A 27,750-nucleotide genomic window follows, 5' to 3' on the forward strand; every position below is an offset into this window, starting at 1 on the left:
AGACCAAACCAGTGTACATCTGTACATCTTACATGTATTGATTGATGCCTTATGTCTCCCTGAAAACCAAGCTGTGGCATGACCACCTTGGGCATGTGTTCTCAGGACCCTCTGGAGCTGTGTCACAGGCATGTCCTTAACCCTGGCAAAACAAACTTCTAAGCTAATTGAAACCTGTCTCAGATATGTTTTGGTTTACAAGAGAAAATACATTTCTCTTTCTTAAGCTACCCAATTTGTTGTACTTTTTTTAGGGCAGCCTTAGCAAACTAAAGTAGATAGTTATACGAGCACACATATACACTCCAATGTAAAAATAATAGCATACTTCAAAATAGGATGAAAACAGTAAGACAGTACAACTGTAATGATTTGACTTGGGTTTCTTTCAGTGTATATTGATATAACAGAAATGAAAACTGATTCTCATTGAGAGGGTATTCTCCAATTGAGCATCCATGTTGTCATGACATATATGAGGTTGAATCAGCTAAGCTCCAAGCTGAATAAATCCCTGAAACATAAACAATTTCTATTAGGATGTCTGTGTGCCTGAACCCAGATCCTAAGTCTCTTACCACATTTACCCTTTGTTACTCACACCACAGGGATTCTCAACTCTGAAAACTCTAAAAACTTTCCTGTTCCTGTTTAGGTTTCTAAACTTTGTATTCCAAAAGAGCTCTGATGAGGTCCAGCCCAAATTCAGCTTCTCTGACCTTAGTTCCTTCCCACTTTTGCACTATACTTGTCTGTATTGTAGATTATTTTCCACAAAACTCTTTGAGATCTTCTGTAACTTCTCATCCTGTTTTTCAAATTCCATCAAAAACACTTTGCCTCCTATTTTATGAAGAAAACAAAGGCTGAAATCTAAGCTCATTCTACTTCCTCCACTTTGCCTTTCCTGAGGTTGATTGATTGGTTACTTTAATAATCCTAGATTTCCTGCTTAGAAAGACCATTTTCTTTCTGAGTTCTCATCTTGCAATTCTAGGTTCTCTTTAACCGCAGGACGCTAACACATTTATAGCTCTATTTCTCTTATATTCAGTATCTCCATTTCTCCTACCAACAACATGCATTCTGCTTATCCTAGAGTGTCTTTCCTGTACCATCTTATTGGTTAAGACAAAGTAATGAGTCTGGAGCAGGTGAGGAACAAGTCATATAATAATAGAAAAAGATAATTTGACTCCATGAAGCGAATTAAAAATAATTTACCCTCAAGTCTTTATTTCATAAATAAAGAAATCAGGCAGATAAAATATCCAGCCGAAGAAGTTTTGTTTTGTTTTTGTTGTTGTTGTTTTAAAAGTATTCTTTGAAAAATCTCAAAATCATCTCTTAGGCAAACCTGCAAGTTAATCTATCAATTGACGAAATAGGCAAACCTAAAAGTTAATCTATCAATTGACAAAAATAAAAAATAATTCAAGAAAAGCCACTAAGGAAATGGGAGTTTGAATGCTGAACTAGATATTAGTTATTTTTCAAAACATGTTATTAAACAAATATTTATTGGCTAGAATATGTAAGGCATTCTGCTATGTACATTATACGCACTACCTTGTTTGACTCTCACTGCAACTCTGTGAATTAAGTAGTATTATTATTCCCATTCTAAACATAAAGAAACTCATGCTTAATTTAAGTAACTTGCTGTGGTCACAAAGCTTGTAGATTTATGAATAAGGACTTAAATTCCATTCTATCCAGCATCAAAGTTCTTCTCTGACCAACAGTTACAACCAACACTACCTACCTGGCACTAAACTCAATTATTTTTCCCTGACCATGTGGTTAGATAACTAGGGAGTGTGTGTGTCCTGTGAGTCTACTGTGATGGGGTGGAGGAGGAGGGAAGGTAAGAAAGCTGTGGTGAGGCATGAGAAAGAGTGCATATTTGTTTTCAAAGGGGAGAATGAATTTACTCCAAGCCACCATCCTTAAATGTATTTCAGAGATACTTTTCTTTCCTTTCTTTCTTTCTTTCTTTCTTTCTCTTTCTTTTTCTCTTTCTTTCTTTCTTTCTTTCTTTCTTTCTTTCTTTCTTTCTTTCTTTCTTTCTTTCTTTATTTCTTTCCCTCTCTCTCTCTCTCTTTCTTTTTGTTTGATGGAATCTCACTCTGGAGTGCAGTGATGAGATCTTGGCTCACTGCAACCTCCTCCTCCAAGGTTCAAGTGATTCTCCTGCCTCAGCCTCCTGAGTAGCTGGGACTGCAGGTGGGCACCACCACTCCTGGCTAATTTTAGTATTTTTAATAGAGACGGGGTTTCACCATTTTGGCCAAGCTAGTCTTGAACTCCTGACCTCATGATCCGCCCACCTTGGCCTCCCAAAGTGCTGCGGTTACAGGCATGAGCCACCGTGCCCGGCTGAGATACTTATTTTTTATGTGACTTGACGAAGTTTAAAATTCAGTTTTTAGTTGTGAAAGATTGTCCCATCCCAGATGGGAATGATATTTCTAACCACGGCCTCATTAACACCTTCCCAATTAAGTTTAAAATCTAAAAAGAGTGAGAAATATTCCTAAACAGCAAAAATATTTTGATTCATGTCATAAAAAAGGAACATATTCAGAGAGTAAAAAAGCACTTATTGATGCTCTTAAATCTTCAGCCATCAAGGGGGAGAGTCTCTGAAGCATGGGAACCAAACAAGAGGTCACATTGATTTCCTGCCAGCGTTCACAGGTTAACCACCAGAAACATGGCAATGATTATCAATGGGACTGTATGCTCTGTAAAATAAGTAGCATCAAGGTTATTTAAAATTTTCCAGGCTTCTCCTCTCCATCTTGAAAGCTGTTGGTATGCAATACAATTTTCAAGGCCAATGTTACCTACTTCAGGACAGGAAAATAAATGTGAAGCTCTATAGCATTATTTGTCGGTCATATTCTATAAAGAAATTTGAAAAGTTTAGTTCTTCCAGAATTGCTTTAAACCTCTAGGGAAGAAAAAAACCTCATTGGACATCTGTTTGCACAAGAACTTAATTCTCCTTAGAAACTTGCCACTAAATACTTAGGTGGCTTTGGCAAATTTGACAGTAATCTTTTTAAACCATAGTTTCCCCATTTGTAACATGAAGAGTTAAGGGATCAAATTAGTTTTATTACTTTGTCCAGGTCTAAAATGTCATAATAAATACCATGCCATGACAAATAACTGATGATATTTTAACTCATATGATTCATACCATGTCACTAGATTTTTTTCAAATTCCATTTATGCCGAACATAGAAGAAGAAGGCAACTTTGAGACACAGATCACTTGTCTTCAGGATGAAAGACAAATTAGATTTCCAAAAATTTCTGTCTTCCCATTCCTGGTTTTCCAGGGGAAAATGGCTGAGGGTGAGCACAGGGAACATCACTAAGGGAGGCAAATGATGGTGGTAGCTGTAGTGAAATCCCTCTTCTGATCATGATTGTGTCCCAAGTGTTTCCCAGTGTAAGAGGGAGGCTCAAATATGATATTACTGAACACTTCTGGGATGATTAACAATATAAACGCTTGTAGTTTAAATTCTCATCCAAACCTCTATGTGCCCTCTTCGTTACAGAGTTGGTGGAATAGTGCTCATTCTACCCCACCTGAACTACATCTTTACTCAAAATTTTTGTGCGCCTCTTCTGTATAGCTTTTTACCAACACGGACTGAATCTTATTTTTAAAGTCTAAAATAAAGAAGTTATTACTATGTCAGCAAAAACAATTATTCACAGATTGTGAGGCTAACATATAAATCAGTCAGGAGTCAATTGGAGAAGTAAGAGTACTAAGATATATATACACACAAACACGTTATGTATTGTAATTGTCCTACTTATAAGTAAATGTATGCATATGTTACTGTATGTATGTACGTATGCATATGTATACATATGCACATGCATACATACATATATATAAGTATACACACACATGCATACATACACATGCACACATACACACACAGAAAGGATTCTGTTACAAGGATTTTACCTTACACAATTGTAGGAGCTGGCTAAGCAGTTTCTGTAAAGCTGTCATCTGTGCATCTGATGCTGTTGGTACTTGAAGACTACAGGGCAGGCAACAGAAAAGGAAAGATGAATGTAAAACGGAGAAGTGCAAGAGCAAGCTAGAGCCCACAAGCACAAGTTGTCTTGGCATGGATTAAACCTCATATCAGTCTTGTTGCCTCTGATCTTGAGGGTATGGCTGTCCTGCAGATTCTGGGCTCCTTCTTATGAAGCTAAAAATACACCTGGCCCAGAATTGAGAAGAGCTATAGGAAGATCTAGAGGAAGATGAAACAGCTGGAGGTCTGGTCTCTGGCTTACACTATGGTGAGCAGTGTGTGTGTGCTACAAAATGATCGCAACTTCACTTTCACCTTCCCACAAGATCTCCCACAAGAATCTCTCTTGTGACCCATGTTTACCAAAAGCAAACTATGAAAGGGATTTTTAGGAAATGAAATTCAGCCTAGTTAAATTGAAATGTTACAAAGCCACTATTAAGATGCTTTATTGACAACAGCAATATACTGCTAACATAGGAATTATGCCTTGCTGAAAACTGAGCATGTATCAGGCATTCTGCTGGGTAGTTTATATAGATGATTTCAAATAGTCCTCATCTTACCAATTGAGCTAAGTATTCTTATCTCCATTTTAAAGATGAGAAGACTGAGAACCAGAGACAATACAAACTCTCTGAGATAATAGGGGTAGTATGATTTTAGAATCTTTTTCTGTCTCACTCTACCATGAGTTTATATGTTTTAATTATTCCATGTAGGATGGAGATGATGGTAATAACCAGCATCTAATCATGAGTACTATTTTGGCAGGTGCTGTGCTGAGTACTTTACATTCACTACCTTACTTAAACTTTACATATCTATGAAATAGATACTTTTATTCTATTTCACAGATAAAAGAAGAGAGGATTTGATAGGTTAAATAAACTTTCCCCAAATCACAGAAGTGGTAAGTGATTGACCCAGAACTGTGTCCAAATTTGTCTAGCTTCAAAGCCAATGTGCTTAACAGATGTCAGGTTAATGGACTTAAGTCTAATATGTACTTTTGTTTGTTTAAAATGTTCTATACCCAAAAGATATAGGTACAGATTTAAAAAATAGTAGCAGAATGAAATTCTCCAATCTCTTTCTCTCTATCTCTCCATCTAATCATCATCTCTCCCAGTTTAAAAAAGTAGTTTCTCAGCATCTTGGAAGCCCTCTGAGTGCCTCTCCCCAATATTATCATCCACCTTTCTCCCTAGAAGTAACTAAAAACATTCACATTTTATTAATCATCTCCTTTTGTCTAAAGTTTTACATGTCTATTTAGTTTCATTTTATGTATTTTTTTGAAATTTAAATGAAATAAACCATGTCATATGCATTTTTCTGTGACTTCTTTAACTCAGAATTAAGTATGTGAAATTCCTCTAACTTGCTAGTTACTGTAATTGATTCATTTTCCCAGCTGCGTAGTTTCCCAGTATATTAATGTATTACAAATATGTGTCCATTCTGCTGTTGATTGGCATTTGGGTTGGAATATTTACTGTTACAAATAATGATCCTATTCACTTTTTAAAAACCTGTTTATTACTGCATGTACTCAAGTGTTTCTCAATGGTGTTTTTGCAAGAGTGGACTGCTTGAAGTATAAGGCAAGCACATTTTCAAATACTAAGTAGAGGCCGGGCGCGGTGATTCATGCCTGTAATCCCAGCATTGTGGGAGGCCGAGGGGTGTGGATCCCCTGAGGTCAGGAGTTTGAAACCAGCCTGGCCAACGTAGTAAAACCCAGTCCCTACTAAAAAAAAAATACAAAAAAAATCAGCCGGGCGTGGTGGCGCGTGCCTGTAATCCCAGCTACTCCAGAGGCTGAGGCAGGAGAATCGCTTGAACCTGGGAGGCAGAGGTTGCAGTGGTCCAAGATCGTGCCACTGCACTCCAGCCTGGGCAACAGAGCAAGACTCTGTCTCAAAAACTAAACAAAATAAAACAAATTTACTAAGTAGTGTCAAAATCTTTTTGAAAATGATTTAACGCTTTGAAATTTCTACCAACTGTGCTTGAGCATTCCCATGACTCTATGTACTCTCTAACATGATATATTCAACCTTTTAATTGTTGACTGTCATTCAATATATATGATTTAAAATTTTTAATTTGAATTTTTCTGATAATAATATTGAGAGTATTTTCATGTAATATGAGTCATGTGTTTATCTTCTAAGAAAAACTTTTTTGTCTTTTGCTAATTTTTCTAAAGGGCTCTTTATAATTTTCTTATTGATACATAGTTTACTGTTATATGCATGTGTTAGAAATGTCTTCTCCTGGGAAGTGCTTATGCTTTCATGGGAACTTTAGATTATAACAATTCCTTAATTTTATAATATCCTAGTTTTTCAAATTTTCTTCATGATGTGAGTGTTATATCTTCCTAAAAAAATTTGTTTTATTATACATATTAAAATATTCTACTTTATAGAGTTTTAATAAAAGTTTATTGCTTTGCCTTTTACATTTCGTTCTTCAATTCACCTGAAATTATGTATTTTCTGAAGTGGGAATCCAATTTAAAGTTTTTCAGATAAAAAGCTAGCTTTCAGCCGGGCGCGGTGGCTCATGCCTGTAATTCCAGCACTTTGGGAGGCTGAGGCGGGCGGATCACCTGAGGTTGGGAGTTCCAGAGCAGCCTGACCAACATGGAGAAACCCCGTCTCTACTAAAAATACAAAATTAGCTGGGCGTGGTGGCACATGCCTGTAATCCCAGCTACTTGGGAGGCTGAGGCAGGAGAATCACTTGAACCTGGGAGTCAGACGTTGCAGTGAACTGAGATCGTGCCATTGCACTCCAGCCTGGGCAACAAGTGCGAAACTCCATCTCAAATAAAAATAAAAAAATAAAAAAAATTAAAAAGCCAGCTTTCTCAGTGCCAAGTTTTCATAATCTATCCTTTCCCTACTGACCCCTGATGATGGCTTTGACACAAATTATATTTACACCTTTAAGGAAGTATTTTCCTACTGATTTGCTGATAGTTTTCTCAGGAGTGAATGTTAATTTTATTGGACACTATTTCTACAACTATCGAGATGGTTTGCCTATCATAATTTATCAGAATGGTAAATTATATTTATCATTTTAAATGCAAAATTGTCTTTGGTTTTGAAATAAACCCATATTGTTTACAATGTGTGTATATGTGTGCTTGTGTGTGTGTTTTAATACTATGTTAGATTTCATCGGGAACCATTTAGAGGTTTTCCAGATCACAACATTTTCATGAATTTCAAATACAAACCCAGATGCGGTCTGAATTTTGGTTACAAATTTTTAGAGTAGACTATTTTTTCCTACCAGTAAAGACCATTGTTACTGAATTTCCACTCTGAATGGTGTGTCTACTTCTTGTTTATATCGACAAGATATCCCTTTTGGTTCTCAGATTTATGAGGTGGTTTTCTATAGGACTTTTCACCTTCAATGGGCTCAAGGCTTTATCTTCTGTCCCAGTTACCTTAAAGCTGTCAAAGGGGAAACCGAAGTCATCTAGGGTTTATTTGAAGTCCTCTGACTTCCTGTGTTCATATTAATTCTGGATTCTGTGCATTTTTTTTTCATGCTCTTTCCAGTCTCCATGAGGAGAATCATCTAGGACATTTAATCTAGCAGAGGGCTAGCAACAGCATGGTCTATATATTCAATTCAAATTAATATTGATATCTCTCAGTGATTGCAACTCCTAAAGATTCAAGATAATGAAATTCTGAAGAGCTGAATATATATTTCCTATGATTTTAATTAAATTAGTAAAGACACTAAGAGTTTTTTGTTATAATAGCAACTCCCTAATCATATAAAGCTGCATTATTTACAAATGATAGCACAATTTTCACGAGGTCAGCACTAATTAATATAATTCCTAGTGTTAACATTGTTTCTATCATCTGATCTACTTTGTTTGAACCTCATCGTTTCCACATCTTGCCACTGAAGCTATTCTAATTCACTGAATTTAATTGCATCTCTTTTTCTATGTTTGAAATATATTTTTCTGTTGATATCTTAATGGTGACATGGTGGCTTTTAGAAAGAATTCTTAATCAAAATGTAAAAAGGCTGCAGTTTGCTTTTATGTGTTGCATGTGTACAATATGGCAAAAATGACTTCACCACTACATAGGCTTACGTTATCTTTATTATCAAAAAATAGGACTAATTCAACATACTTGTTCCCAAGAACTAGAGCTACGTCTTTGCATAAAAAGCTAGATATTAGTCAAAATTGCTGTATTGCCAACTCTATGGAACAGAATAACTGGCATCAGGTAGTATGAAAAGAAAGACGTAATAGATAAATAGATTGCAAATATTGTTAACTCAGTACCTTTCTGCAGAATGACATCACCTGAGAAATTTTGTTAGCTTAGCATATCAATTGGCCTATAGTCATATTTGTGACTTCTGAAGCTTCTGTATTGTCCTTACCTGCATCCTCTTCCTCCCATCCTAACTTTATTGACTAATTAGTGTTTTCTCTTTCACTGAGTTGGGAGGACAATAGATTCTGCCACTAACAAATATGTTCAGAGTTTATTTTGTACTTACAAATTAAAGATGGAATGGAGAAATCTCCAATTTTAATTAGTTATCTTTCTGGCTGATTTTTTTCATTAAGTTTTCTCTCTTTTCAGAAAGTGCTTTCTGAATATAATTCAGTAGGTGGGCTATTGACTATTATCATGTCTGGCAGTAGAGTATTACATTAATGCCATGCTCAGTTTTCTTGATCCTAGATAAGAAGGGGAAAGAGAGATCACTCATTGGTCTAAGGTTAAGGCAGAAACATCAGGGGCAGGTTGCTGAATTTTATGCTGGGTATTTTTACTTTTGAGAAATCACTTAACCTCTGCTTTGATTTTTCTAGTTGTAAAGTGGGGTGTTGAAGAGGTTATACAATTTATATTCCTAAAGTACTCTTAAAATGGAAAATGCTGTGCAGGGTGTTAATTATCTTGTCGTGTTGTTATTAATAATAATTTAAGTCATACATTTTAGAAAACGACCATCATGCCATTTTTTTGCAACCCAGCTGATTGTTTTCCCCAAAACAGCATGCATGTTAGTATAACATAAATTCAAAGTATATAAAACATCTCTTCTGTAATTGCTAGAGGTGGTAGTATCTAAACAACTTGTAAGCTTACATTATGTTAAGAGAAAAAATAAAGTAAAACAGATAAGAAGACATGCAGACCAGTAATACCATAACACATGTATGGCTGTGTGTGCACGTGCACATATGTTTGCTCTGCCAACTAAGAGAAATGCTGAAGGGATGTTATCTTAATGAAGGAACTAGGTCAGCAATCCTCAGTTTATTTTGACAAACTCTGCTTTCTTCTGTCAATTCTCTTCCTCGTAGGCCAAACAGGAGGAGAATTTCAAGTGACTTTACTGTTTTGTTCAGGCAATAAAGAGAACACATAGGTATGTAATACCTCAGGGTACTGACAGCTCACGGGCCAAGTAATGGAACAGCTCCTATGCGTAACTCCGTTTCGGTTATAAAATGACGTTAAGAGCAGCAGCATTGGCAGGATTCATGTGTTTTCTATGCCATCTGAGAAGAAATGCCCTTTCACGTGAGAAGAAATTACCCTTCTTAGAGTTCTTTAGGACATGTAGCAGGTAGGCTATGTGAGTAATCTTGAAAAGTTTACTGGACATCTGTTATCAGAAGGAGCTTCATTTGTGTAGACTAAGATAGATGTAAAATACTTCTGGAGTATCGCCAGAGTCAGATATAGAGCCTAATCTGCTCATTTCAGCTTGAGCCTATACTAATTTCTGTCCCCTGTCTCCTCAGACAACATTTATCTGAACCACAGATTTTGAATCCTGAAATTCTACTCTCTGTTGCAAATCACTGTGCTTGTTTTAATGGAAAAATTATATGGTAAGATATGAAACTTGCTGAAAGCCCTTAATGTCTGAAAGTGGAGATGAGGTATGTGCATAAATGATTGCATGGGTTGAATGTTTATTTTCAAAAAACTCCATATCAAATGGCTTTTGTTGTGTAATAAGTCACCCCAAAACTTAGTGCTTCACAACAATTGTGTGCTTGGCTCACATTTCCAGGAATTGACAATTTTGCACTAGATTCGGTTGATTTAGATCTGGGATTATTCACATGTCTGCTGTTTGCTTTAGCCTGGGGCCTCAGTTCTTTTCCACATGATGTTGTGTCCTCCAACTGGCTAGCTCAGGCTTTCTCATATTCTGTAGTGTTCCAAGAAAATAAGAGAGAGAACAGAGGAATGCTTAAGCACCTTTCTATCCTCTGTTTGTGTTACATTTGCTAATGTCCGACTGGCTAACACATGTTAAATATCAACCAGATTTGTCTCTTGAAGAAACTGCAATGTAACATTATAAGGTCATAAATGTAATTAGGGAAAGAATTTGGGGCCATTTTTACACTCTACCAACACTGAGGGGCAAAAAATGGAGACTCTTGGGAAAGCCAGATGCCATTTCATGTACTTTGTCAATCAAGCATATATCTGCATATATTAAAAATGTAAAGTCCAATTCCTTTTCTTTGGATCTCTTTCCCTTGAGATTTAAGAAGTTTGCAGGTGTCTTATCATGTCCCAGGGGCCATTTCTTGCTATCTCTAACTCTGCTGAATATAAAACTAGGGTGTACCTTCTTGAGGTTAGAAAGTCTCTACAATCTCTGTTTTTTTTAAAAAAAAAAAAAAGGAAAAAAAAAAGAAAAAAACCTGTCCTTCACCAACACCGAACACTCATAGTTTTAACACAGCTTCCATGCACAAAGAGGGTCTTTGCTTTCCATTGCTTGACTATTGCACGATGCCATTGCAAAGTAGATGGAATTGAGCTATGACAGGTCTCAGGACACCCTATTCCAAAATGCGGCACCTTGGCATACTAAATATTTTAAGCTGAAGGAGTTTGAGAATAGGCAGGGGCAGGAAAGACCCTGACCTTACCCTGAAGCAGGTCATATGTCCCTCATATGAGAGGTGCTCCCCAAATACCTGGCAGAAAGGAAAATTTTTATTCTCAAAGACAGAGGGACACCGACAGGAATCCTAACAAACAAGCCTCGCTAACCGCCCTTTAGTTTAATACACTTAGCTTGTACCCTTTTCTCTTATACTTTTCCATATCTTTCCATTCGCCATCAAATGTAGTATAAAATGCTCAGTTTAACCATTTCTTTGGATCTTCATTTGCTAATGAAGGCATCAAGTCACATAAAACTTATATTAAATGCTTTCCTTTTGTTAATCTGTCTTTTGACAAGGAGACCCAGCCAAGAATCTGGAAGAGTGGAAGGAAAAGGATATGTTTCCTCCTCTCCAGCTATCTGTTCTGATTGCTGCCTCTGTCCTTGCTGCAGAACTTCTTCAAGTTGCAAAGTAAAAAGAAATCAGTGCCTATGCTATCTCAGGGTGTTTAAACCTAAATTTTCAAATTTGTGCCTGTACTTCCAACATTATATCTTTTTATATTCACTTACATATTCACCTTACCAGAAAGTAAGCCTGGCCTCTTACAAATTCAGAACTACCATACATATCTTTTTCACCAGTGTAGCTTCTAGGTAAAGCTCAGGAACTGCATGATGGTTTTATTTTAAGGGCTCTGTTGCTGTTACCTGTGTTCAGGCCTAGTGCAGGGTCATCCTGGGACATCCCAAAGGGTATGGTAACATTAAATTCAAAGATAAATATGTGGTCTTGATCATTTCTTACCAGACTTTCCCTAGAATTCCAATGCCTACTTTCTAGGTGCCCTCTCAGCATCTTTTATTTTTCAATGTCTCTCTCTCCCTATACATCTTACAGCCACAAAACCAATTAATTACTAAATACCTACATTCTTGGCCACACCATACCACAAAAGTAGAATGGTTTAAGTTATAGAAGAGTTCATGGCAGAGATAAGTGTCCATGCTAAAGATAAATTATTTAAAACTAGGGGAATTAAGAGAAAGATTTTATGAAAATTATTATTTCATTTTTTCCTTTACTTGAAAAATGTATAATCTTTGGTTATTAAGAAAAAAATGGGAGAAGCTCTCTGAGTGGATAAAAGTGGAGCAAATGCATAATTACTAGAAGTTCAAGCTGTTTGGGCAGAAGAGAATGCTGGAGTAGATTGAAACTTAGAGTTTTTAAAGGGAAGAAAGAGGTGATAATTATTGATGGTATAAAAAAAGATCTTGTAGTACCTTGAAAGGTAGCCTAAGAGGTTTAAATTTTTCCATAGGGAGTAATAAAAGTGACAAAATCAGAGATATGGTTTAGAAATATGAATTAGAAAATAGCTTGAAGAGTGTACTCGAGAAAGGTATGGTTCATATGGAAATGAGCTTTGGGAAAGCTATCAAGGTAGTCCAGGGTAAAAAAACTTTTCAGTTCACTTATTTGCTTAATGGATGTAATAATATCTTGTTTACTTACCTTGAAGATTAGAAAAGATAATTCACTATAGTATCCAACACAGTACTTGGCACTTAAAAAGAAGGCTGTAATAATGGTAAATTGCTACTGCAAGTTTCAAATATCCCTATCAGAATATATATCTGGTTTCCAATGGAGTGATTCTAAACTTGTTAAGAGGACAAACTTTTTCTATGCCTTTAATGACCCTTTTCCCCCTTTATATTTAACACAATCTAAGTTCTCAGAAAATACTTATTGAATAAAAGGCACACCCACATAGTACACTATTGCTTTTATGTAGAAAAATCTATAATTTGACATAGATTTAGTTATTCAAATTTTAATATTATACACCTTAAACGTTTTAATTTTATTGCCTTTCTATGCTACTATGCAGGGTTTTTTACTTCCCTTTATTGTTGGAATTCTCTCACAAATCCAGAGGTTTTTGCAATCTGGAAAATAAAGTCAGAGGGAGGTTTTTATAACTGTCTCATTTTAGTGCCAAACCACATTTCAGGTTCTAGTTCAATTCATTCTATCGCGGGCCTTCTGCACAGACTCACTTTGCCTCCAGTTACCTGCAGCAGATAAAAATCGAGCCCCTTGTCTTCCAGCACACGTCTAGAACTGGTCTAGCCTGTTGCTTTCTGTTCTCTCTTCTCTCCTGACTTTCAAGGGCTTCTTGGCTTTCCCAGATTTATCTCATTTCTATAATATCCCTGTGTGCACATACTTTTATGACTTTGTCCTTCGTTGTTTTACTTGGATTCCATTTGTTATTTGTTCTCTTTGTCTGTACATCACATCCATTACTCTCTGTTTTATCTAGCGCCCCAGATCCACAGGAGCCTTACTAACTGGAAAGCCCTATTGACCTTCCAGTTGATGTAGGGGGATCAGACACTGTTAAATACTTTGTTCTGTCTTAAGGCAACAAATGTGAGAAGCGCCAGAATTAAGTCAAGGCTATAGGCAAATGTAAATGCCAATGTAACTTCCAGAAGAGTGGGATAAGCATGCCCACAGGTGGCACCCAGTAAAGGATGTCGCTTATTAGTTTGTACGCTCTGGGCTTTGGATTGTTGATGGTGATAGTATTTCAGAGCCTACCAAATCCAAATACGCCTATCTTAGGCTTGTGTATACAATTCAAATATGTTTAGAGACTCACTTGCCTACAGAGGCCATGCAGTTATCCTTAATAAATAAGATCGCTATTGTGTCAGAAAGAAAATAGAAAGTGGAGAAGACAGTAATAAATCAAGAGGATAATTCCGTAGAGAGCTGCCAGCTACTACTCAACTCCAGCTAATTGTTCCATGAGGAAATGCAAGCCTGAATATATGTAATATTCTCAACTTTTTAAAAAGAAGATCAAAATCTGCAGTTTTATATGGCTGAAGTGTACTTAAGACACTGTAGGACCAGTATTTTGTGACTGTAACCTCTCTTTTACAATAATAAGAAAATGGAGTAAAATTTTACAAAGACGTTACTCTATTCAATTAGGGATATTAAAATTAAATTATGATATAGCATTTACTCAGTAGTATAAGCATGCGTTTATTTACAAAAAATAAATATTATTCAGTGGAATTTGTTTTTCATTGTCAATTGATATATCTATTACAGCATATTTGGAAAATATTTACCAGATTTATTTTGTATTTCTCCTGAATAATTTTCCCCTATAGCCTGTTCTTAAGGGCAAGCCAAGAGGCTTACATCTTGGAAAGATGGATATACCAATTAAAGCGATGAAATCATTACTAGATTTTGACTGTCAAATTAGTCATTAAGGCCACTATGAATTTCTGAGTCCTTTGTTAGACAATTATTCTGGAAAGCTATGCATTACTGAGAGAAAAGAGGATTTTCTAAATTCTTTAAGCTCCATTAACATATCAAGAGCCAATTCTGATAGAGTCAAGCTTGAATAGCCAGTTTTATTCTATGCCAGGTAGAGAAACGAGGTTATGATGTACTAGAAATTCCACCTGCCAAAATAGAATGCAGAAACTTGACTGAGTTGGATGCAAGAGAATTTCAAGAGAAAATTTTAATGAAAGAAAACAGGTGCTAATATATAATTTTTCCCTCAAAGAGAATCCTCAAGGTGGTCTGTGAGAGAAATATCTAGATTAAGATGGAGGAACCTGGAAAAAACCAAAACTCTTCTCCAATAACATCACATTGTTTTGGTACCATATCTAGCATGACAAGCATTTGCTAATACATATGTATTTGAAGCAAATGATCAAAGAGTAGTTGTCTTGTTTCTTCATAGCCTGCACACATCGGGTTTCTATGTAGAAGATGTGTAGAATGATCAGAAGATTAACATCTTTTGGTCCAGATGAAGAACTCATGGTATACAAGGCCCATGAACCAAGGCTAATGGTCATGATCTTGAACTTCCACAGCCGATGTCTACAGGATGTCTCTTATGCTGACTGGCACCTTGGATAGGTTAGTGTGGAGTAGGAAAAAACTCTGAAAGACTGAACTTTTACCCATTAGAAAGTGGAATCTACTGGCTTAAACCTGAAAAGTCAAGGCTATCCTCACTTGTCAGTTATAAGTCCTTATTCCTTCCATCACCATTCAACAGGTTAGGAGCTTAAGAGCAAGATTATATCAATCGAAAATAAAATAGCTATTTTCTTGCACGCCTTAAGAATGATTTGTTAGTTATTGACCTTACCACATCTCTAAGTAATTAAAGAGCTTCTTAGATAGGGCTAACTCAATTGTTTCTGCTGGGAAATTGAGTTAATTTCCTTTTTATTTTAATTCTTAATGGTCTTATGCTTTGCTGCTATGTCCAACACTGGTCTTACCTCATGCTTGTTTGCTATAAGATGTTCCTTTCTAAAATTAAGGCATTTACCACTATTTGGGGGAAAAATCAACCTACAACAGTCCATATTTCAGATTTCAATTGTCGAATCCTCATCAACATATTTTATAGTTCCAATTGTTCAGTTCTTTGTCACAATAAACTAAGAATATTTTATTTCTTCATGTAGTTCTTGGCTGATCATTATATAAATCCTCAGTTTTCTGTCCTTTTTTTCTGTAGTTTGCCTGCAAATACCATAAAATGGGAGGATGAGGGGAACATAAACTTTTTATTGGTAGTGTGGAGAATAATTTCACATATCAGACTGATTTACAAGTCCCTGTTTAGCATTTCCCTTCACTGTGAACTCAAACCAAAAAATGTTTGGTCCAGAAATATGGACTTTATGGTACTTGTATAGTGCCAGGATAAAAAGGCTTGTTTAATAGTAATAACAGATTAGGAAGCTCTTATGTTGCCATTTCCTGACAATGTTCTATAGCTATGCCAACATAACATATGACTAAGTTGTGTGTCAGATTGGATGGGAACAGTAAGATATTGAGGATGTTTGGGAAAAGCAGCTCTTCAACACTAGGAAACTGTCATGGTAGAGAAAATCTGAGCGGGCAAAAAAAGCAACAAGCTAATGGGCTAAATTTATGATCAGGCAACTTACAGGAAAGGAAATTGGAATGAACAAAAGCAGATAAAGAAGAGAAACACTGTTGTGACTATATTTGGTACAGCCATTGTGGGGTGATTTTGTGGACAATAATAGTTTGAATGTGTATATACTCTATGACACAAGCTTCCACTACTGAGTATAGTAATACTCTGGAGAAATTCACACACATTGGCAAGGAAACATGTTCAACACTTCCAACTAGTTATTTCTAGTAACAGGGGATTAAATTTAAAAATAGTAAAATTACATAATGGAAAAGTTAAAACTTTAAAGAATTAATTCTCTTTCTTGTTTTTGTTTTTTGGAGATAGTATCTCTCTCTATCACCCAGACCGGAGTGCAGTGGCACGACTGTGGCTCACAGCAGCCTCTACCTCCAGGGATCAAGCAATCCTCCCACCTCAGCCTCCTGAGTAGCTGGGACTACAGCCACACGCCACCACACTCAGCTATTTTTTTTATTTTTTGTAGAGATAAGGTTTCACCATGTTGCCAGGCTGGTCTCAAATTCCTGAGCTCCAGTGATCTACTCACCTCAGCCTCTCAAAGTGCTGGGATTATAGTGCGTGCCACCATGCCTGGCCAGAATAAACTCTCTAGATAGCTAAATAGATGACTCTCTATAAAGGTATGTGTGTATGCATTTGTGTGTATATGTTACATATATACAACATAAATACATGGAAACCAATGTGAATAGCAACTTTTAGAATAATACATAAGGTATATTATGTGATACTATTTGTACAAGTGGTAAGTATAATAGACATTATTCATTCATACATATATAGATATATGGAAATTTGAAATAGAGATAAAAATCATGATAAAGACTGCCTCTGTAAAAACAGACAAGAAGATATGACACAGTGTAAGTCAAATAACACTTCTAATACTTCAAAATTATCTGTATCCTTTTCTTAAAATAATACTTGAAGCAAATTTGGCAAAATGGTTGACAATTTCTAAAAATTATTGGAGCATAAATGTTAGTTACATTATTTTCTTTAACATCTACATTTTAAAAATTTCTAAAAATAATTGATGGAATCAGAAATCCCTCATGATTTTCAGTTTTGAAAAAAATAGATACGGATTATACTATCTTCCAGCTCTTTCTAAGGAAAATGAATCTTAACTTTGTTATAAGATGAGCCATAGTAATAAGAATTCTGCTCCTTTGCTTCATGCCCCAAAGAAACCCGTTCCTAATTCCTTAAAAAGCACAATGAAGGAATTAATGTAGGATTTTTATCTCCATGCCTCTTTGAAAACTTGGGTAGCTGCTGGCATTCTTACTGCTAAGTAATTAGCTAAGGCAGCTCCTGCAAAGACAAGGCAGGTGCATCCATGTGATGGTGGCTCTGAGTTGACTTGTCCAACAAGTTGACACTGAATAGCTTGCATAAAACACTTTGCTCTGATGTTATTGCTTTAGAAAAAAAAATTGCTCCAACTTTCATAATCTCTGAAAACTCATGTAGAATTCAGAACACAAAAAAAGAATATGTGTAAATGGCTTTTAATTAACATAAATTTTGATAATTGTGTTCATGTGGATATGCACTTCACCCATCTCTTTAAAATACTTTAAAATGAATGGAAGCAGTATAACTCACTTTCTGAGACCCAAGGGGTTGAGAACAGTATGTGGCATGTTGCAGCTACTTAGTAAATATTTGTGGAAAGAAAGAGGAACAGAGTAAGAAATTTGTTATGAATAAACATGGAGACCAAAGTTAGATGCAATGCAATCAGCTTCATATTCAGAAAATGACTTGCATTGTAGTCATAAGCAGTAACACCTAGCCCAGAAAAACATCTTGTAAATTTGTGTGAAGTTCCTCCCAAGCTATGGATCTCTGAAATCTTAGGTGAAAGAGTGTTTGAAGGATACGTCGTTGGAAGAGAGGCAGAAGAGGAAGCAAAAGCCCTTATATTTAAGTGACGTTCCCCTATGGGGATTGAGTATTTTTATTCTTATGCTATGATTGATTGTCTTTGGATGAGAACCCGGGAACACCAAATGTGAAGCAGGGCATCTGAGGTCCAGGGAGCGCACTATTTTTATACTTTACAGAATTGTGAAAATCTAAGCAAAATGACTTCTTGTGACTCACATAATACTGGGCCCAGATTACAGGGACCAGCACTTCCACAGAGATATTTGAGGCCAAAAATGTAGATAAACCTCATTTTTTGACCCTCTGTAAATATCCCTGGGATAATACAACTCAAACATGCACTTCTTTAACAGTGGGATTTTGTATTTTCCCATTGCATTGCGACATAACCATGGTATGAGATCAACTGCCTCCAGAGAGCTGAGCATTCACAAAGTCAAATTTCACAGCCCTGTTAATTTCTTCATTTCCACATTTTAATCAACATTACACTTAGGAGGAAAAAATACAGTTACCATTATCATCTGAATATCGCTTTATTTTCTCTTTTAGGGTAATTTCGTGCATAGTCCCTAACCTGTCATTAAAGTGAATTGAAGTAACACACGAATATAAAATACCAGGAAACCTGGGTATGAAATAGTGGCTTTAAACTTTATTTTTGGGAAATAAGAGTATTTTCATATTGATATTTTCTAACTTTTTTTTTCTTTCTGCTTGTCTGTTAAGTTAGTGAGCAGGCTGTTGAACAATGGAAATTTTCCATCTGTAATGCAGAAATACTCTGAGATTTCCAGTCACTGAGTTTTTTCTGCTACACTGTGTGAGTTTTAAAGAGTAACTTACCTTGCCGGTGCCTGTTCCATATTAAATTTTATGTATAACAATTAAATTCCCCTCTGAGCCATCTGGTTTATTGGTTGTTTGAATTTACATTCTTCAAGTTGTCCTCCCAATTTACTCATAGTGGGACCAAATTTTCTCAGCTCGTTTTTCATAAATTCCCTGCATGTAGCCAGTCCAGTAAACTCCCCGCTGAGGTGGCTATAATGTGGCTCATACTTTTAAAGTTATATTTTCATGCATTATACCCCACAAGGAAATGCATGTAGTTCTACTTCTGTGCATGCAAGTAAATTGGGGCACAATCTACTTTCAGAAAAATCACCTTGCTGGAAACTGAGTTTACTCTGAAATTAGTCCCTTTTTCTCTTTTTGTTATAATTGTAATCTGGGAAGAATTCTGTTATATATGTCATAGAGGTCCTTTATTTATACTTTAAATTGGAACCTGTTCTGTATATATTCATCCAAATAATTCATTTTAAGTAAATGAAAAGAAAAAATAATTACTTTTCCTCCAAGCTTTTATTTTAGAAGGTTGGTTAGGTCATCAAATTGAGGGAAAATATCCAAGTTCAAAAATCAAACTTCTTTCTTGTTGAAATGTATATAATTTCTTATTCTTCATACATTTAAGCTGCATAATAGAATATGCAGCCTAAGTAATACATGAATTCAGTAGAAAGGAAAACTAACCAGACTTTCATGTTAGTAAAACCTGGTTGAGAGTTTAATATTTCATTAAATATAATTTCAGGTATTTATTTTTGTAATATGTACTTTAAGTGCCAACAACAGCAAATCAATCTCATCTTACATAATTTATAGTCTTTCCATGTGTTATATTTTCATTGATTGTTTTATCAACTTTTTAAAACATTTTTTAAAAAGAAAAAGAATCTTTCAAATATGCAGACTATACAGAATAATTTTGAATTCTATATATTTTTTTCTAAGCATTTAATAAAGCATATTACGTATATATAGATAATACCTATATTTCATATATGTATATTTCATGCAGATATGAAATATGTATATACTAAAGCCCTTCAAGAAATAATTACTAAACACCACAAATGCTGGGTACTGTGTTAGGTGCTAAGTCTACATTGGTGAATGACAGAAACAAAATTTTTTTCCCTCTTGGAACTTCACGCTAGTGAAGGGAGACAAAAAATAAGCAATAAGTATAATAAAACAATTTATACAGTATTTTAGAAACATATAAATTCTGTTATATAGGTACAGATGAAAGAGATTGAGGGTTCCAGGGTGGGAGTGGGTTTTCTGTTTTAGCTGGGGTTGGGGAGTCATGGTAGACACATGAAGTAGGAGACTGAGTCTTGTAAATAATGGGGGAAGAATGTTCCAGGCAGAGCAAAAAAACAGTAACAGGGTCTTATGGTGGGACTATTTTGAGACCAGGGAGGAGGACAGTGTGTCTAGAGTAGAGGTGGTCCAGCAATGGAGGGAGACATAGTGAATAAGAATAGAGAAATAAAGAAATGATACAAGTCATGAATGACTTTTTAGGCCTTTGTAAAGAGTTTGGGTTTTACTATTAACAAAAATAAGTACAATAATTTTGACTTAGATTTTAATAATATGCCTCATGCTTTTTGTTCTAATCCCTATCTCTTTCCTGAAGCAATCATATCAATAATTCATTGAAGATATTTCTTTTCCTTTTTTATTATTTCACTATTTAAAAAATTTATGACTTTATTGATGTACAATTGACAAACAATAGAACACATGTATTTAAAATGCACAGTTTGTTAACTTTTGACATATGTGTATGCAGTGAGACCATGAATGCAATCAATATAATGACATTTCTACCGCCTCCAAAAGTTTCCGCTTGACTCTTTGTAATCCATTACTCCCTTCACTGTGTCCGCAGGGAAACCCTGAGCTTCTTTTTTATCATTATAGATTATTTTGCATGTTCTAGAGCTTAACATAAATGGAATTATATAGTAGATACTCTATTTTTGGTCTGTCTTCCTTCCTTAAGGAAGGAAGAAATAAATTTTGAGACTTATTCGGGTTGTTGCATGTATCATTAGTTCATTGCTTTTTACTGATGAGTAGTATCCCATTGTATGGGTATAGCATATTTTGGTTATCTATTCAACTGTTGATAGACATTTGGGCTATTTCCACTGTTGGCTATTGTAAATAAAGCTTCTCTAAACATTGGTATATAAGTCTTTACTTATATGTATGAACATATGTTTTCATTTCTCTTTTAGAAATGGAATGGCTGCAGCATATGTTAGTTATATGTTTAGTATTTTAAGACTCTGCTAAACTATTTTCCAAAGTAGAGTGCCATCTATCTTACATTCCCACAGGCAACATGTGAAAGTTCCAGTTGCTCCACATTTTTGCCAACATTTTGTATGTTGATGATTTATTTGTATTATTTTTATTTTTTCCAGCTTTATTGAGATATAGTAGACAAAAATTTTATGTTTAAAGTATACATGTTTTGCTATAAGTGTACATTGTGAAATGATTACCACAATCCAGCCAATGAACATATTCATTACTTCAAATAGTTACCATTTTGTGTGTGTGATGAGAAAATTTGAGATCTACTCTCCTAGCAAATTTCAAGTTCACAAAATAGTATTACTAACTATAGTCAGCATGCTGTATAGATCTCCAAAACTGCATAACAAAACTTTTAACCCTTTGACCAACATCTCTCCATTTCTTCCACTCCACTTCTGCCTGCCCCCTGGCAACCATCATTCTACTCTCTGTTTCTATGAGTCCAGCTTTTTTAGATTCATCATGTAGATGAGATCATGTAGTATCTGTCGTTCTGTACTTGGCCTATTTCGCTTTGCATAATGTCCTCCACATCCATCTGTGTTGTCTCAAATGGCAGAATTTTCTTCTTTTTTAAGGATTAGTAATATTTCATGTTATATAGACACCACATTTTCTTTATCCATTCATCCACTGATGAACACTTAATTTCATATCTTGACAATTATGAATAATACTGTAATGAACATGGGAGTGCAGATATTACTCTGACATACTAATTTTATTTCTTTCTGGCATATACTCAGAAATGAGATTTCTAGATCATGTGGGAGTTCTATTCTTAATATTTTGAGGAACCTCCATACTATTTTTCATAATGACTATACCAATTTACATTCCCATTGACAGTGTACAAGGGTTCCCTTACCTCCGCACCTTTGCCAACACTTGCTATAATGTTTTTTGATGATAACCATTTTAACATACATTAAGTGATATATCTTATTGTGGTTTTGATTTTCATTTTCCTAATAATTAGTGACACTTAGTGTTTTTTCATATACCTGTTGGTAATTTGTATGTCTTCCATTAATAAGTGTCTATTCAGGTCTTTGCTCAGTTTCAATGTGGTTGTTTCCTAGCTATTGAGTTTAGTTCCTTATATACTTTGGATTTTAAACTTTTACTTGATGTATGGTTTATAAATATTTTTTTCCACTCCTAGGTAAGTTGTGTCTTCTCTCTGTTAATTATTTCCTTGGAGCACAGAATAATTTTTAGTTTCATGCAATCCCATTTGGCTATTTTTGCTTTCACTACCCATCCTTTTGGGGTCATATCTAAAAATTCAGTTTACCCAAAGCATTGCCAAGAAGCTGTTCCCCTGTGCTTTATTCTAATAGTTTTACAGCTTCAGGTTGTAAATTTAAGTTTTTAATCCATTTTGAGTAGTTTTTTAAATATGTTATAAGATAGAGTCCAGTATCATTCTTTTGCATGTGGATATTCAGTTTTCTCAACATCATTTATTGAAGAGACTGTCATTTCTCCGATTGTGTGTTAATGACAACCTTGTGGAAAATCAGTTGGCTGGAAATGCATGAATTTATTTCTGTGCTCTCTGTTCCATTCGTCTATATGTCCATTTTTATGCCAGTGCCATACTCTTTTGTTTACTATGGCTTTGTAGCATATTGAAGTCAGGTAGTGCAATACCTTCAGCTTTGTTCTTCTTGCTCAAGATTGCTCTGTCTATTCCAGATATTTTGTGGTTTCATATGAATTTTAGGGTTGTTTTTACTATTTCTGTGCAAAATGCCATTGAGGTTTTAATAGGAATTGCTTTGAATATGTAGATAATTTTAGGTACCAGAAAAATATTAATTTTGTAATTCCTGAACATTTTCCATTTATTTGAGACTTCTTCAATTTCTCTCATCAAGGTTTTATTGTGCTTAGTGTATGGACCTTTCACCTCCTTGGTTAAATTTATTCTTAGTATTGTATTCTCTTTGATGCTAATAAAAATTGATTTGGTTTCTTAATTTGTTTTTTGGATAGCATATTGTTATTATATAGAAACACTTTTTCTTTGTATTTTGGTTTTGTATTTTGCAAATTTACCTAATTCATTTATTAGCTCTAATAGTTTTTATGATTAAGTCTTTACTTTTTTTGTACAGAAACAAATAAACTAGACTCAAAGCACCGATTTTTATCATTCTTCTTCTTATTTTATTGTCATTATTATTATATTAAAGAGTGAGTTTTCTAGTTCTAAGTGTAACATGCAATTATTGACTATACAGTCTTCTTATATCTTTTCCTATTTGAATGTTTGTTTTTTTCTTATTTGTATGACCTCTGCTGCATATCTTCTAAATATGAATCATTTTTAGTCAAAAGTGTGTCATAATCTTCTTCTAGTCTCTTGTATTTTAAATTAGTTTATGGTATTTATTTCTATCTTTTTGTTAGATTGACTTTCATTATCCCCATGTAAAGTTTAACAATTTTTAAAATATATTTCTATATCTTGTTTTAAATATTCTTTCTATTCTGAGGTAAAAAACATAAAACAAACTGTCGATGTGTTCATAAAAGTGTTGAATGTTTTTTCTCCTCTCTCCCAGACACTGAAAGTTTTGAATTTTCTTCCTCATTTAGGCTATTAATATGTAAGGAGTTTATCTAACTTTTTATTTCTTTTCCATGTAAAAAGCTGGTTTTCCTAACCACTTTGAAGGGTCCTTTCCCCAGTGATTTCCAATGTCACCTCTCATTTACCCAGGTAGTTGTTTTGTATATGACTGACCGTTTTGTTTATGAAGTTTCTGTGGGAAGAAAATCTTCTTTATCTTTGTAGCCATACTAATTAGCACGGACCAGTTAACAATAAAATCTTTCAAAATGGAATGTCATTTGAACTGGAGCTTGACAGAAATGGTACAATTCTCCAAAAGCACATGACTGGGTCATGAGTTTTTATCAAACTTGGTTTAGAAATATTTCTTGAAAGCAAATATAAATATAAGAACTATTTTCCTATCTACTATACCACTCTAAATTTCTTAGGGGCTTACATTTTCAATTTATGTTTGAACAACTATTAAACATAAGATCTTCATGTTAAAATTATTTTTGTTTATTCATTTAACAAAAGATATTGATTATTCAATATCTAATCTGTGATGCAGTATAGCTCAAGGCATAGGGTATAAAATCAGCCAGGTCATATTGTCTATCCTCATGAAGCTCATCATCTTTTCAGGGATAGGTGGATGAAGAAGTAACTTTGATATAATAAGTGCTCTAGGAGGGACATGTATAAAGGACAACAGAATATAATGAAGGAAGAGTTAACTTTGCAGTAAAGAGCCAGAGAAGTCTTCACCGAACTGATCATGACTTAGTTAAATCTCTATACGAAAATTTAAAGTTCACCAGGCAGGAAAAAAAAAAAATGTGTTTTCTTACCAGTGGAATTACAAGCACAAAGTCACAGAGGCCTGATGGCATGTGGCATGTTCAGGAAATAGCAAACAACCTTTTATAACTAAAGCAAATACTTCAGGTATGGGGAAGGGCGTTGAAGATTAATCTGAAAAAAATAGATTGGGATTGGATTTTGAAGAGATTTGTATGAAGAAGTAGGTCATAAATCTATGGGCAACAGGCAACCACTGAAATTTTGAAATAAGCACATCACGTGATCCGATTTTTATTTCAGGAATTAACTGATGTCAGGATGATGAATGGACTGAAAGACATAAAAACTAAGACTTAGTAAAGTTTATTTTCGTAGACAGAACAAGAAGCAGATTTCTGGGTTTCTGTAATAAAATCTTCACTTGTTTTCTTGCCTCTATCTTTGCCTCTTATAGAATAATCATGACACAGCAGCCAGAGCTATTCTTTTAAAGACAAAATCAGGAAAGCAAATCAGGTCATGTCACTTCTCTGCTCAACTCTTGCAATGATTCTTCAAATAGCTCAGAGTAAAAGACAAAGTCTTTATAATCAATAACGTACAAGCTCCCATCACCTGTCTGCTTTGGTCTCTTACTACTCTTTCCCTGGTTCCCTCATTCTAGCCTCACTGGCCTCCTTGCTGATTCTCATAAATGCCAGATATGCCCCATCTTAGGATCTTTGTCTCATAAATGCAGAGTTAATTATTGCTTTTAAATCTTAGCTCAAGTGTCACCCTTTCACTGAGGGCTTTCCTGGTTACCCTATTTGAATTGCAAACATCCATTTCTTCCTAGCGCTCACAATCCTCTATGTCCTGCTCTACATTTCCTCCCAAAGCATTTGTTATTCTCTAACATACTATTTAATTTATTCTTTAAATTATCCGATTGTCTTTCTCCCTTGCTAGAGTTTAAGGCATCAATCTTCTCCTTGGTTCAGTAATGTGTCTGAAAGTGCCTAGAACTTTGTCTGGCACATAGCAGGCTCTTAATTAATATTTTCAGTGAAAAAAATAAGGGTCTTAAGAAAGTAAGATAGTGAAAAAGGAACGGTTGGATTGAAGAGTTTTGAAAAGAATTTAGTGTAATTGTGGGTGGGACTTAGTAATTGATTTAATACAATCATTAAGTGAGATGAGAGAATAAAAGCTTTACCAATTTATCTGGCTTTGTTGAATCAGAGGATTATGGTATTAGTAGCCTATATTCTCTTATTTCTAGAAAAGGCAGAAAAGTTAGTTCCTTATAAATTCTAAAACCATGTAAAGACTATATAAAATATATTAAAGATTTTAAAACTCTCTTAAAATCTCCAGCTATACAGATACACATTGTCTTTGCTTTACTGTTTGATAAATATTTTTATTTTTCCTTGGAAAAGACAGAGAGACAGAGAAATAGAGAGAGCGAGATGCAAGAAGATAGGCTCTTAAATTATCATCTACCTTCCTCAAATACACAAATTAAATAAAGAGAAAAACAGATCCAAATTACCCTCTATTGCTCTTGTTTCTCTCTCTCTCTCTCTCTTTTTTTTTTTTTAAACTATGGGACCCTTGTCCTCATGATTCTGGTTATTGTGAACTTTAGCTCTTACATGGATGTAATTACTTGCTCTTGCAATAGTCTGGTGTCCTATAAGAGCATAGGGACAATGACTGCTATACTCTGAACAGTGTGGCCCCGAGGAGAAAAAAAGAGCTTCAATCTAGCTTGGATTCAACAGTTACTTTCAAGTTCCAGCTTTGTTAATTTATTAGCAACAAACCCTAAAGCAAATTATTTAACCTCATAAAGAATCAGTTCCTTTGTTTGTAAAATGATGCTATTGCAAAATATTGTGTGGTGAAGAAATGTAGTTTTTGAAAATCGTGAAATGCAATAAACGTGTAAGATACAGTCATCATTCTAAACAGCAAAGTGTGCTCATAGACAAGGAATCTGGCAGAGAAGTTAATGTTACTTGGTCTTTAGAAAACTATTCTATTTGTTGGGGGAGGGGAAGAAAAAACTAGTTTTACAATTTTTTCAACCAAGTCTGGTACTAGGTTCCAGTGTTATTTTTCTACTAGACAGTCACAGACAGAGTTGTCACATTTATATTTTTGCCCCAAAAGTTGCCTTGGGGTATAGTCACTCAGGGACCCCTCTAAACTTTATATTAGCTCATATCAGGATATTTCCTGACTAGAAACACTACTGAATGGCATCTCTAAGGGAGTTAAGTGTGTTTAAAAATTAATCAGTACTCTAATTTCATCTTCAGAATATTTGCTAAAATCTGCTAATGTGTAGTCATGAATATAGCATCATACTATTTCTTATTAAATCTAAGATTTGAGTTTTCCATCTTGATTATATGCTTGGAAATTTCAATAATCAGTAATCTTTTTTTTCTATAATTTTTCACTGCTAAAGTTTTTCTGATATTACATAAGGCAAAGTCAATAGTAATTTTTTCCTTTGTCTTTGTACTTATAAAAGTCAATAACTGGAGCAATAAGACATCATAGGTAAAACAGGACTACTTTGAACCTCAGGGAACTAAGGCATTTTAATGCAGTAGAAAGTCCACTGAACCAGAATACCAAAGGCTTACATTTAGTTCTAATCTGCCATTAGCTAGATCCCAGGCCAATCATTTTACCTTTCCGTGAATCAACTCTTTACCCAAAAAGTAAGCAAATAGACTACATAATTTGTCAGTATGTTTTACCTACAAAATTTTATGAAAATTATCTCTTCCTGGAAGAGGATGGCAACTAGTGGAAAAGGAATTGTTTTGAAAGCCTGCTAACTGAAAGTTAGCCAAAGATGTTTGAAGCAGATACTGTCCTGATAACTTGTAGCCATTGGAGAAGACACCATTTACTAATTGTATTAAAATTAGAATTAAAAATAGCAGCATAGAGAGGCAATTTTATTATATTTATAAAATTCCCTCTCTAGGTAGTATAAAAGTCAGTAGCCAGTGATATCTAAAAGCATGCACTTGTTTTGGCTTCCCTGTGAAACTATTTTTGATATAAGAGTTTGTCAGAAGAGATTAGTGGTGATTTATATTCTCTATTTCTAATTACTTTGCCCATTTCAGATCTCCTGAACAATTCTTGATAAAACTACAGTGAAAGTTTCACAAAACCTTCAATATCTATTTCTTAAGGATCTTCAGTTAATTCAAAACCAAAGAACAATCTGATA

At 34.8% G+C, this 27,750-nt stretch overlaps 2 long non-coding RNA genes across 2 annotated transcripts in view; one reads left to right on the top strand and one right to left on the bottom strand.

Annotated features, from left to right (window-relative positions):
- LOC105378810 (uncharacterized) overlaps window positions 1-27,750 on the top strand; it is a 136,420-nt gene that overhangs the window by 10,097 nt on the left and 98,573 nt on the right. The window lies entirely within an intron of this gene.
- Window positions 438-8,804, bottom strand: LOC105378812 (uncharacterized). Its single transcript, XR_947530.1, has 3 exons — window positions 8,640-8,804; window positions 3,998-4,076; window positions 438-514 (listed from the first exon to the last, which is right to left on the bottom strand). It is a non-coding gene; the product is annotated as an uncharacterized LOC105378812 (long non-coding RNA).

This window comes from Homo sapiens, chromosome 1 (genome assembly GCF_000001405.40).
Source record: "Homo sapiens chromosome 1, GRCh38.p14 Primary Assembly".
In the NCBI taxonomy this organism is placed as follows: Eukaryota; Metazoa; Chordata; class Mammalia; order Primates; family Hominidae; genus Homo; species Homo sapiens.